Source organism: Homo sapiens, chromosome 22, assembly GCF_000001405.40.
Source record: "Homo sapiens chromosome 22, GRCh38.p14 Primary Assembly".
NCBI lineage: Eukaryota > Metazoa > Chordata > Mammalia > Primates > Hominidae > Homo > Homo sapiens.
In genome coordinates this window covers 19,219,667-19,232,430 of record NC_000022.11, presented here as the reverse complement: position 1 = coordinate 19,232,430, position 12,764 = coordinate 19,219,667, and the positions used below count along the sequence as shown (strand labels likewise).

At 46.8% G+C, this 12,764-nt stretch overlaps 1 protein-coding gene across 21 annotated transcripts in view, besides 1 other annotated feature; it reads left to right on the top strand.

Annotated features, from left to right (window-relative positions):
- The window catches only part of CLTCL1 (clathrin heavy chain like 1), a 112,247-nt gene that overhangs the window by 59,289 nt on the left and 40,194 nt on the right, over positions 1–12,764 (top strand). For 20 of the 21 annotated variants that reach the window (XM_047441517.1, XM_047441515.1, XM_017028954.3 and 17 more), the window contains 8 exons: positions 2,456–2,593; positions 6,048–6,212; positions 6,798–6,978; positions 8,377–8,540; positions 9,622–9,747; positions 10,338–10,480; positions 10,820–11,054; positions 12,424–12,546. In XM_047441517.1, coding sequence (XP_047297473.1) covers positions 2,456–2,593; positions 6,048–6,212; positions 6,798–6,978; positions 8,377–8,540; positions 9,622–9,747; positions 10,338–10,480; positions 10,820–11,054; positions 12,424–12,546 — 1,275 coding nt within the window. Of the gene's footprint in view, positions 1–2,455; positions 2,594–5,824; positions 5,916–6,047; positions 6,213–6,797; positions 6,979–8,376; positions 8,541–9,621; positions 9,748–10,337; positions 10,481–10,819; positions 11,055–12,423; positions 12,547–12,764 lie in introns of those variants that run through there. The other variant, XM_011530401.2, reaches the window with a different exon arrangement.
- Positions 8,499–9,050: an enhancer, noted in NCBI's record as "NANOG hESC enhancer chr22:19210904-19211455 (GRCh37/hg19 assembly coordinates)". NCBI's record gives its function as "activates a minimal SCP1, AML or CMV promoter by ChIP-STARR-seq in naive H9 embryonic stem cells {active_cell/tissue: H9 hESC(naive)}" and the evidence as "EXISTENCE:reporter gene assay evidence [ECO:0000049][PMID:30033119]".

Below are 12,764 nucleotides of genomic sequence, written 5' to 3'. Positions count from 1 at the left end.
CATCTAGAAGATTTCTTTGATTCGTTTCCTGTTAACTTGTCTCAATGCTTTTCTTCATCTGCTATTAATCTTGCAGTTTTAAAAAATCTAGTGTACTTGGGGAGTTTGTCTTCTAGTCTTTACTATGTGAGTACTCATTGCTTCCTTTGTTTTGAAGTACTTTAGAGAATGTTTGTTTGGGTTTGTGTCTTTGGGTGGTGATGGTGTAGGGTGTGAGGATGTCATTTAGGTTCCAGCCCTCCATCCCGTGGCCCACCCCAGTTACTACATCATTGTCTCTCCCTGACCATTGGCCTGAGCACCAGGAGCTAGTGCTGTTGCGTCCCCCAGATGTTCATCCTGTGGGTGTCTGACTGACCTGGATTACGTGAGCATCAGCCTGTTTTTTAGTGTAACCTACTTAAAATTTAGATGTAAACACATGACAAGTCACTTTCAGTAAATTGGTACAAGGAGCTTTGATGATATATAGATGTGTAACAAAGCTTGAAGCAAGGCATCAGAACCAACAACTGTTTAGAAATAATAAGTGCAGTTGTATGTGTTTGTACATCTGGGAATCTGCAGATATTTTGGAGAACATGAATAAGAGATTTGAGACAAATTTACTTAGCTTTCAATAGGAAAGAAATTTCCAGTTCACATCTTGTTTACAGTTCATATTTTAAAGTTGTTCAAAATATAAACTTCTCATACTTTATGAGAAGTTCCACAGTTAATAAGTTCTTTTTTATTTTCCTGTAAAGCTGTCCTTCAAAAACAATTATTAAATTTATTCCTGTATTTCACATCTTACTAAGGCATATTAATTATTTAAATTAACATCAATTTAACTTTAATAATTGTCTAAGTAAATATTTGCATTTTCCCAGTTGTGCCCCAATAATATAATGATATATATGAGTTAGATATCAAGTATCAGCTGCTTTGTTAGTCAAGATGCTGCAGAGAGACAGAATCAATAGCGTAGCTATAGCTATATGAAAGGGAGCCTGGGCAACATAGTGAGACCCCCATCTCTACAAACAATTTTTTAAAAGTTAGCCAGGCATGGTGGTGCACACCTGTGGTCCCAGCTACTCAGGAGGCTGAGATGGGAGGATCGCTTGAGCCCTGAAGGTTGAGGCTGCAGTGAGTGGTGACCTTGTCACTGCTTCAGCCTAGGCAATAGAGTGAGACCCTATCTCAGATATATGAGAGGGAGTTTATTAGGAGAATTGGCTCGTGATTATGGAGGCTGAGAAGTCCTGTGATAGACTGTCTGCAAGCTAGAGGAGACCTTGGATTCTGGTAGCGTGGCTCAATCTAAGTTTGAAAGCCTCAGAACCAGGGAAGCTGAAGGCGTAACTCTCAGTCTGAGGCCAATGGCCTGAGAACCCTGGGGGGCCTTTGGTGTAAGTCCTGGAGTCCAAAGGCTGGGGAGCCTGGAGTTCTGATGTCCAAAGGTAGGAGGTGGAGAATGTCCCAGCTCCAGGAGAAAGAGAGAAGAAATCTATTCTTTCCTTTTTTGTGCCCCCAGCCGATTAGATGGTGTTCCCCGACATTGAGAGTGGATCATTCTACTTGTTCCCCCAACTCACATGCCAGTCTCCTCTGGGAATGCCCTCACAAACACACCCAGAAGGAATGCTTTACCTGTTCTCTATGTGTTCCTTAATCCAGTCAAGCTGACACCTAAAGTTAAGCATCACAGCTGCCTCTAGGATGTGATTAAGTAATGTATGATTACTGCTTGGGGGTTCATATGTTATAAAAGTTACTCCCTTTCATATACTTCAGTAAAATACCTCACTGATAAGTATGATGTAGGTGATATGATTTTGCAAGATTATTAATAAATTAATGACCATAAATTACGTGAATTGTGTTGTTGTTGTTGAGATGAGGTCACTGCATTACCCACAGTGGTCTCAACTCCTGGGCTCAAGGAATGCATCCACCTCAGCCTCCTGAGTAGCTGGGACTATAGGCACATGCCACCACACCTGGCTGTATGTGAATTGCGATGACAGAAGAAAATGGAAAGGGGCCGGGCGCAGTGGCTTATGCCTGTAGTCTCAGCACTTTGGGAGGCCGAGGCGGGCGGATCACCTGAAGTCGGGAGTTCGAGACCAGCCTGACCAACATGGTGAAACCGTGTCTCTACTAAAAATAGAAAAATTAGCTGGGTGTGGTGACGGGTGCCTGTAGTCTCAGCCACTTGGGAAGCTGAGGCAGGAGAATCGCTTGAACCCAGGAGGTGGAGGGCAGAGATTGGAGTGAGCTGAGATTGTGCCTTTGCAGTCTAGCCTGGGTGACAGAGCGAGACTCCATCTCAAAAAAAAAAAAAAAACCAAGGGAGGGAACTAATTGCTGAATTTCTAAATGAGATAATATTTCAGGAACTATTTCAATAGGAAAATGAAACACTGAATGAAAACATACTGAGTGAAAATGTGGCTTGGATATGTTTCAGATTGTGGACATTTTCATGGAAAACAGTTTAATTCAGCAGTGTACTTCCTTCTTATTGGATGCCTTGAAGAATAATCGCCCAGCTGAGGGACTCCTGCAGACATGGCTGTTGGAGATGAACCTTGTTCATGCACCCCAGGTCAGTGACTTGTAGGCTAACACCGAGAGGCAGAGCACCTGTGGCACCTCTCTGGGTTTGCAGACTTGAGCACAGTGGCTTTGGACTGGGCTGGGCTTGTGCCAGATGTTTATCTTGTACTTCTCAGTGGACATTCTCCATGACTTTCCTTAAAAGGATTTTCCAGAAATCATGATACAGGACTTTCATGGAAACAGTTCTAATTAGGGCAGCATTTCTTCCTTTCTTCTTTTTTTCATTGTGGTAAAATATACATAACCAAATTTACCATTTTAACAACTTTTAAGTGTCTGATACAGTGGCATTAAGAACATTCACAATGCTATGCAGCCATTACCACTACATAGTTCCAGAACTTTTATTATCCCAGAGTAACTATGTAACTGTTAAGCAGTGACTCCTCATTTCCCAGCCCCTGACAACTGCCATTCTAATCTGTCTCTATTAATTTGGCTTTTCAAGATATTTCATATACATGGAACCACAAAATATTTGTCCTTTTACCTGGCTTTTTTCACTTAGCATATTATTTTCAAGGTTCATCCATGTTGTAGCATGTGTTAGAAACACCTTCATTTTTGAAACTGAGTAATAGTCCACCATGTGTATATATGACATGTGTTTATCCATTCATCCATTGATGAACATTTGGGTTGCTTCTACCTTTAGGCTATTGTGAATAATGCTGCTGTTAACATGGGTGTACAAAGATTTATTTGAGACCCTGCTTTAATTCTTTTGGGCATATATCCAGAAGTGGACTTGCTGGATCATGTCCTACAGTAATTCTATGTTTACCTTTTTGAGGAACCACCATACTGTATTCCAGGAGGCTGTACCATTTTATATTCTTCCCAGCAATGCTCAGCTGTTCCAATTTCTGTATATCCTTGCCAACACATCTTCCCTGTCTAAAATAATAATAATAGTAATCACCATCTTAATGGGCGTGCAGTGGTATCTCACTGTGGTGAGGCATCATTTGTTGGCCTGAAACTTGTGGGAGCAGGTATAATCAAATCACATGTCTGTGCTATTTTGGGTTAAATTTAGATATATATACAAGAAAGGGATTTAGAGGAGTTTATATCAAGCTGTTCACCACGGTACTAAGTGGATAAGATTGTACAAGTTCACTTTGTTCTTTACTTATCTCTTCTGATTTTTCTTTAATAATCACTTACTGTTTTTATAATTAGGAAACAACATATTAAGTATATTGTTCTGTTACCTCAATTTATTCAAATCTACAAGTTAGCTGCTAAGAAGTGGGTCATATTCCAACTCTAGGAAATAAAAGTACTGTTAATTTGCTGCTTGGGGTCTACTGGACTCTCATGACTTTGTGAGTGTATGTAACCGTTTCTGGTGAATGAGATTTGAAACACACCAAGCGTCACTCAGAAACTTGGCAGACAGACCCTAAGGAATGCCCAGACCCTAAAGGAGAAACAAGTAGTTGGGTGAGGTGCCAGCAGGCTCTGGCTTAGTGCCCCAGGACGCTGGCAGTCTTCTCTGGGCAGTAGGACTGCGTGATGGTTTCTACATTCTATAAAATACACTGTTGCTATGAGGAGAAAATGTTTGAAAACAAGAAGTAAAGATAAACCTGAAGGAAACAAAGGATAGGAGACTCAGGTAAGTGCTAGATGTTCTAAAGCCCTACTCTTAGTACTGTGTTTGATCGTCAACTCTGTGCATCACTCTGAAGTGGTCTGGTGTGTGACAGTGGCTGTGGTCACTCTGTGGCCATACCTGGTTGGTGATGCAGATCCTAGAAGGAATAAGAAAGAGTGTGCCAGGTGGCAGGGGAAGGCACCCAGGAGTGTAGCTTGTCAAGACCATCATTAGATACTGAGGGAGCACTCACTCAGCCATGCTGCAAGGCTGCTGTGTTGACCTATCCAGTCTTAGCCCAAAAATTACTTACTTCAAGAGAATATTTAGTGGCTGGGTGCAGTGGCTCGCGCCTATAACCCCAGCATTTTTGGAGGCCAAGGTGAGCAGAGCCCAGGAGTTTGAGACCAGCATGGACAACACGGCCAAACCCCATCTCTACAAAAAAATATAAAAATTAGCCAGGTGGGCCAGGTGCGGTGGCTCACACCTGTAATCCCAGCACTTTGGGAGGCCAAGGCGGGTGGATCACATGGTCAAGAGATCGAGACCAGCCTGGCCAACATGGTGAAACCCTGTCTTTACTAAAAATACAAAAATTAGCTGGGTGTGGTGGCGCATGCCTGTAGTCCCAGCTACTTGGGAGGCTGAGGCAGGAGAATCACTTGAACCCGTGAGACGGAGGTTGCAGTGAGCAGGGTGGGGTCATGCCACTGCATTGCAGCCTGGCAACAGAGCGAGACTCCATCTCAAAAAAAAAAAAAAAAAAAAGTAGCCAGGTGTGGTGGCATGTGCCTGTAATCCCAGCTGCTTGGGAGGCTGAAGTGGGAGGATTGCTTGAGCCTGGGAGGTCAAAGCAGCAGTGAGCCGAGATTGCACCACTGCACTCCATTCGCCTGGGCAACAGAGTGAGACCCTGTCTCAAAAAAAAAAAAAAAAAAAAGATTTTATGCCTCATCAAAATTGTTTCCAGGAGTGTTCATTGTTTTTTAAATGCAATCCCCAACTCCTAGTTCTGTATTTAGCCTAGTAGAGAAGTCTAGTAAGCACAAATGGGATTTGTTTTGTTCAGGTCTCCTTCTGGTCATTGCTAATCTAAGGCTTGAGCTCATTCAAGGAGAATCGGTAGACTTGAGCCCTCACATTGATCTTGCCATAGAAACCCTATAAGAATGTGATTGCTGGCTGGGCACGGTGGCTCACGGCTATAATCTCAGCACTTTAGGAGGCCAAGGTGGGCAGATCATTTGAGGTCAGGAGTTCGAGACCAGCCTGGCCAACATGACGAAACTCTGTCTCTACTAAAAATACAAAAATAAGCCAGGCATGTTGGTGTGCGTCTGTAATCCCAGCTACTTGGGAGGCTGAGACATGAGAATCGCTTGAACCTGGGAGATGGAGGTTGCAGTGAGCTGAGATTGTGCCACTGCATTCCAGCCTGAGTGATGGAGTGAGACTCTGTCTCAAAAAAAGAAAAAAAAAGGAAAAAAAGAATGTGATTGCTTAAAAGCTGCAACAGTGACTTGGACTCATCCCAGTAATAGGGCTTTATGGAGCCTCAGCCTTTCTCACAGGCCCAACTCTGTGACCACATGGGCTTGGCCCAGCTGCAACATGGGAGAATGAAGCCTTGTGCAAAGGGCCTAAGATGGCTTGAAGGACAGCCAGGGATTTGGGACCCACAAGCACTGCTGCCACCACAGAGGTATGGATGTGGACAGGGGCCTGTGAGTTCTGGTTGCCAGGCTATACCCTACCCTGGGGCAAGATTGAGCAGCTGGTCTTAAAAAGTTATTGCCATTGATCAGGGCTTCTCACCGAACTCCCTGTTTCATAGGTTGCAGATGCCATCCTTGGAAATAAAATGTTTACTCATTACGACCGGGCCCACATTGCCCAGCTCTGTGAGAAGGCAGGCCTCCTGCAGCAAGCACTGGAGCACTACACCGACCTCTATGACATCAAGAGGGCTGTGGTCCACACTCACCTCCTCAATCCCGAGGTACTGTGTACCCCTGGGCACTCCTATTATGGCTGTTGTCTATGCAATTAATGTCACATGCTCCCCAGTGTTCACCTGTTGGTGATTGTGGAACTGTGGCCTGAGCCTGTCACTGCCCTAACCTACCATACTTTACTACCAAAAGCAGTTCTAATTCAGCCCACGCACAAAGTTTATCTGCTCAGCAGCATGTCTGGGCCCTGTAGCACCTTTCTTTCTGATATCCACCTTTGACTTAGTCTAATAGCAGGAGTATACTGGTCACCTTTTAACATTGACAACCTAATAGGACTGTCTGAAACCATTAGCAAAGCTAAACTAGCTATTGTGTTCCAATTTATGGAATAAGTTTTAGCATCATCTGTGGAATATTCCAGGTGAACAGTTTAGATCAGTGTCTTTTCCCAGCTTTACTCCTTGCTCCTACTTTTTCCCGTGATGGATAGTTGCTTTTCAACCCCTTTATGTGGAAATTCTCTGTATTTTTGACACTCAGGGGAACAGGAGAATGACCTAGTTATTTTCCAAGTGTTAGCAATCTTTAGAGTGGTGCATCGTTGTGGACAGACTCTTCCTTGTTCCCAGTGGCTTGTCAATTTCTTTGGCTCCTTATCGGTGGAGGATTCTGTGGAGTGTCTGCATGCCATGCTGTCTGCTAACATCAGACAGAACCTTCAGCTGTGTGTGCAGGTGGCCTCTAAGTACCACGAGCAGCTGGGCACGCAGGCCCTGGTGGAGCTCTTTGAATCCTTCAAGAGTTACAAAGGTAAACCATGCAGCCTCTCGCCGACCCCACCATGTGACTACACCTCCTTTCTCAGGTGTTGCTGCCTACCTGCCCGCCTTAAGACGGCCTTCCTGCAAAGCCAGGCAGGATGCAGCACTGGCTGCCTTGGGTGCTCAGTCGGTGGCAGAATGCTACTGCCATCTCATGTGCACCCTCAGCTTCAGTAACCTTTTTGGTATTTCCAAAGGAAGAAATCAGGTTGGTTGGTGATGGGATGGAGAAACTTATGGAGCCCGGTGTGTCTACGCAGCACAGTCTGGCAAGAATTCATCTAAAAGCCTGTGTCGTGGGTACAGTGAAAGGGCCTGATGTCTGGTCTTTACAGCCCCAGGAGGGAGGCTCTTTGGGCCTCTCCTAAATGAGAGCCCACGATAGAGGGTGCATTGCTTTGTGGTGTCTGCTACCCAGTTGATTGTGGGGGGCTGACAAGGTAACCTGGTTGTCTTCCTTTCCCCTTCTTGGACATCACACCAAAAAAGTGTTCTAGGGCAGTTGGGATGGGAGTGGCTTTGTTAGGGACAGATGGGGGCTGTCTGGCCCACCCAGGATAGAGACTAAGCATTTGTCTAGGCATCAAGCCACTGCCATGTGTCCAGTGAGGTTGGGGCATCGGTGGAGGGTGGGACATGACCCTGTCCTCAGGGAACTGGCCTTCTCTTTAGAAGACACCCCTGTAGGAAAGACCATGGCAGACGATTGAGTGGAGCTGGGCTGGGAGAGGGCAGTAGAGTAGGTTGGTGGAGAACCGTCAGCCCAGGGGCTGCCCATTCCCTTCCTAGCATCAGGGTCTCACAGTTACAGTGAAAGACCTCGACAGGGAGGGGCCTTCTCAGATGTGTCGTACCCTGTTGTTACTGGTGCCTCCTGGCTGGCCTCTGTAATGATGAGGAACATCATTAGCCTCTGTGAATGCTGTCCTCTGGGGCTCACCCTGGGGCTCAGCATGTGGTGCCCATGTCACTGTCAGCTCTGTGTTGAGTTGCAGGCCTCCTCCTGGAGGCCATGGCTTATTTCTCTGTCCCTTGATGTGTCTTTTTAGAGAAGCAGTCCCACCACCATTTCAGATTACCTCAGTGGGAATTACTCTTGATGACGACTATCTAGGTATACCTGGGCCCACAAAAGGAATTTCACTTGTACCAAATATCTAGTATTTTACATCAAAACATGCCAGGTATACCTGCCAAATATAATGGAAATCCGACTAGCTATTTTTGGGAGCTGCCAAAACAGACAAATGGCATATTGATTATGAGTTCTGAGTGTGCTGTGGGTCCCTGGAGAGTGGAGCAGGGTCATCGAGGGAAGGTGGGCAGCAGCTACGGAGGAGACAGGCAGGTGTTACAAGGACAAAAATGGAATGGTCTCTCTTCATAGGCCTCTTCTACTTCCTGGGCTCAATCGTGAACTTCAGCCAAGACCCAGATGTGCATCTGAAATACATTCAGGCTGCCTGTAAGACAGGGCAGATCAAGGAGGTGGAGAGGATATGCCGAGAGAGCAGCTGCTACAACCCAGAGCGTGTGAAGAACTTCCTGAAGGTGTGTTCCAGTGCTGCCTCCTTCCATGAGCTGCCCTTGCTGATGGCAGGTGGGGCAGACCATCCGCAGGACGTCCCAGGGGCAGGAAGCTGGATCTGTCTCGCCAGGGACCCCTTAGTCCCAGGGACAGAGCTCCACTTTATGGCTTAAAGTTCTAAAGTAACCCTTCTATCGTTTTAAGAGTGTGGAAAGCAGCTTGAGGCTGTGCTCTAAGTATCTGGCACTTATTGCTGCATTGTAATTCATCAACATCCCATTAGTGCCATTGTCAATTAGGCAGGCAAAGCTGCAGAAACAAGTAGACCACTCAGCACTAGTGTCATAAAGAACAGGAAGCCTACTTCCTTATGTGGCAGTCCAGGGTAGGCTGGAGGTCAGTGGGGTGACTTTCCTTCCCACTGTACTTCAAGGACCAGCTTCATGGCTGCTTTGCCGTGTTCAGCACCTCACCTGGATGTCGTCTTCCCAGTCAGCTAGAGGAAGGGAAGAGCACAGAGGAACCAGCATAGGTGGTTTTTATGGGCGAGGCCTGCAAGTGGCAGATGACACTTGGATTCACGTTCCATTGGAGGAAATGAGGTCATGTGGCCACACTTAAAACTTCAAAATGTGATCTAGGCACGGGACCACATGAGGGGAGGCATGATTGTGGTGGCCTGTGGCTGTCCTACCCAAGTGCCATCATCATCTGGGAATGGTGGCCGGGTGTGTTTCCATGGCCTGCGGCTGCGTGTCTGAAAAGGCAGCCCTTACCGCAGGTGTGCTGTTCTTGAGAATGGCCTGGTTTCTGTTGGGTTTGCACATAATGAGCTGCTTGTCTTAAAAGATATTTTTGTCCAGATTTGGAATGTTAATGCCAAATGTAGCAGTCTTTAACCAAATACTAATATCTTTCTCTCACTTATTTCCCAAAGCAAATGCCATACCACAAAACGACAGCCTATTTAGAGCAGTCTCATTCTGAGTCTCCTGTGTGTCACTCTGCTGCAGAGACAGAGCCGTCCCATGTGTGCAATGAGTCCGAGGTCTGGCTGTCTGGTTTCTCCACTCCCTGACTTGTTCTGTGCATTCTAATCCTCAGGAGGCCAAGCTCACAGACCAGCTTCCCCTCATCATCGTGTGTGATCGTTTTGGCTTTGTCCATGACCTTGTCCTATATTTATACCGCAACAACCTGCAGAGGTACATTGAGATCTACGTGCAGAAGGTACTGCTGGCTCCCTGGAGTGACACCCGGCTGCCTCTGGGCCCCAGTCAGTGGCAGTCTTCCCCTCAGAGGCTGCCTGTAACACCTGACATTTCAGAGACTATCATTTTGAAGGGTGGTGGGTTCGTGTGCTCAGACTGCCAGAGTAGAAGACCACAGTCCAGGCAGCTGAAACAACACACATTTATTTCTCACAGTTTTGGAAGCTGGAAGTCCATGATCAGGGTGTCGGCAGGGCTGGTTTCTGGTGAAGGCTGTCTCCCACGCTTGCAGACAGCCTCCTGGCTGTGCCCTCACAGGGCCTTTCCTCTGTGCATGTGCACTCCTGGTGTCTCTTCCTCTTCTTAGAAGGACACTAGTCCCATTACATTAGGGCCCCACCCTTGACATTGATTACCTTCTTAAACACCCTCTTTCCAAGTAGAATCCCACTAGGGGTTAGGACATCAGCAGGTGAATTTTGGTGGGACACAGCGCAGTGCTAAACAGGAGCCCTTTCAGGGTTTTGCCCAAACTGTCCACGTCGTAGGAGGCTTCTAACAATAACTTGTGTTTGCAACACTGAAGTTACTTGACCTTGACTACCCTAGGTCAACCCTAGCCGGACCCCAGCTGTGATTGGAGGGCTGCTTGATGTGGATTGTTCTGAGGAAGTGATTAAACACTTAATCATGGCAGTGAGAGGACAGTTCTCTACTGATGAGTTGGTGGCTGAAGTAGAAAAAAGAAATAGGTAAGGTGTCCTTACTTGGTGTTTTCTCTTACCCCTGGATTCTAGTGTCTGTTGTTGTTTCTGTCTAATTCTCCAGGACTGTCTCTATAGCTGGTCGTTCATGTACACATCTTAGATGTAGCAATGAGTTACTTGCTATTGGTACTGTGAAGACCTTGGGGGAAAACCTAACAGTAGAAATCAGTTTGGAAACCAGGTCCATCTTGGTCCCTAGAGCAACCTGAAGTCAATGGACTCTGAGATTTTTTGTTTCAGGAAACATCTGTCAGAGCCCTGGAGTTGCCCTCAAGACTTCCAGTGGTAGCCTTGAGACTTTACAGCACCTTCCTTCTTTCAAAGGCTCAAGCTGCTGCTTCCCTGGCTGGAGTCCCAGATTCAGGAAGGCTGTGAGGAGCCTGCCACTCACAATGCACTGGCTAAAATCTACATCGACAGCAACAACAGCCCCGAGTGCTTCCTGAGAGAGAATGCCTACTATGACAGCAGCGTGGTGGGCCGCTACTGTGAGAAGCGAGACCCCCATCTGGCCTGTGTTGCCTATGAGCGGGGGCAGTGTGACCTTGAGCTCATCAAGGTGGGTAGCAGATGTGCTGAGCTGCCCATGTAACCCTGGGCTCCCAGGGAAGCTTTCAAAGGTGTGCCTGTGGGGAGCTGATCAGGGCTTTCTGTGCACCTGGAGATGGCAGGTCATGAGATTATTTCCTTGTGATTCTCACAGCTTTTGGGAACTTGCTCATGCAATTTGTATGCATTGTACCTGTAGACCAGTTGGTCCTGAACCTGACTTATCATCCCTCTGCTTACAGTCCTTACTATTGCCTGGCAATTTGAGGGCAGAATTGAACTCCTTGGCCTGACTCGTGAGCTCCTCTGTGGACTGCCACCTTTCCCAACTCCCGAACTTGATCAGCCATCCATCTTGCCACCCCACCTGGAGAGGCCTGCAATTCCCTGGGTGCCTCATGTCCCGAGTACCCTTGTACTTCATGCCCCCTTTTTGGGGTAACCCTCTACACAAGCCCTTCCCCATCACCTGACCAATGAGCTCTTGCTGGCCTCTCCTTGAGACATCTGCCCAGGTCTTTTGCCTGCATCTGCCCAGGCTTGGATCCACATATAATTACATGTTTAGGTTGAATTGTATGAACTGTTCCTACCTAATCATTTGATCTAAAAATCCAGACATGAATAGGGCACCTGTGAGGTTGGTGCCACACCAGCCTGCTTGGGCTTTTCCTGTGATACACAGGCGGACTGCGCTGCATCCGCAAGCACGTGTGCACGCCGCTCAGCCTTGTGCCGGGCATCTGGCACTCAACAGATCTGATCCTCACCAGGATTTAGCAAGTGCTGCACACGCTAGAACATTCCAGTGGACTGTTGGTGTTTTGGAGATCTGTTATAACATTCAGAAAAAGGTCTCCAGATCTACCAGTGAAAGCACAGTTTACAGTTTTTAGATCTTGAAACATTGCAGTGTTTGTGCTGTTTTATACCAGTTCTAGGCTGTTCTGATAACATTTTACAGATGGTTTAAAGCTAGCTACATATGAGTACTTAAATTTAACTAAATTAAAAATTACCAGTTTAGTTCCTGTCACGCACCACATTTCAAGGGCTCAGTAGCCTCCCATGGCTAGTGGCTGTATCAGACAGAATGGGAGACAGAGCATGTCCCTGAATGCAGGAAGTCCTACTGGCCAGATATGTGGCACATCCCTGGGAGTTGTTGTAAACTTGGAAAGGGCATTTTGAGGTAGTTTGAGTCCATCGTTAACCCTGTAGGATGCTGCTCATCCCATGTCAAAGCATAGCGTCTTGCCTGGGCCCTGACTGTCCACCAAACCAGTATCAGGCACACAGGGAACGAATTGGGGTGTGTCCTCCCAAGCAGCTTCCGCTGGTTGGCTGCTGTGTCACACACATGAGTGTGCTCATTTCAGGTGTGCAATGAGAATTCTCTGTTCAAAAGCGAGGCCCGCTACCTGGTATGCAGAAAGGATCCGGAGCTCTGGGCTCACGTCCTTGAGGAGACCAACCCATCCAGGAGACAGCTAATTGACCAGGTGAGGCACAGAGATGGGTATGTCTGCACACCTGCATTTTGCCGTCCGATCATCATTGTGGCTCAAGTGACTGGTTTCATTTTTAATTTAAAACATCTTGGCTGAGGGCAGTGGCTCACGCCTGTAATGCCAGCAATTTGGGAGGCGGAGGTGGGTGGATCACTTGAGGTCTCAGGAATTCAAGACCAGCCTGGCCAACGTGGTGAAACCCCATCTCC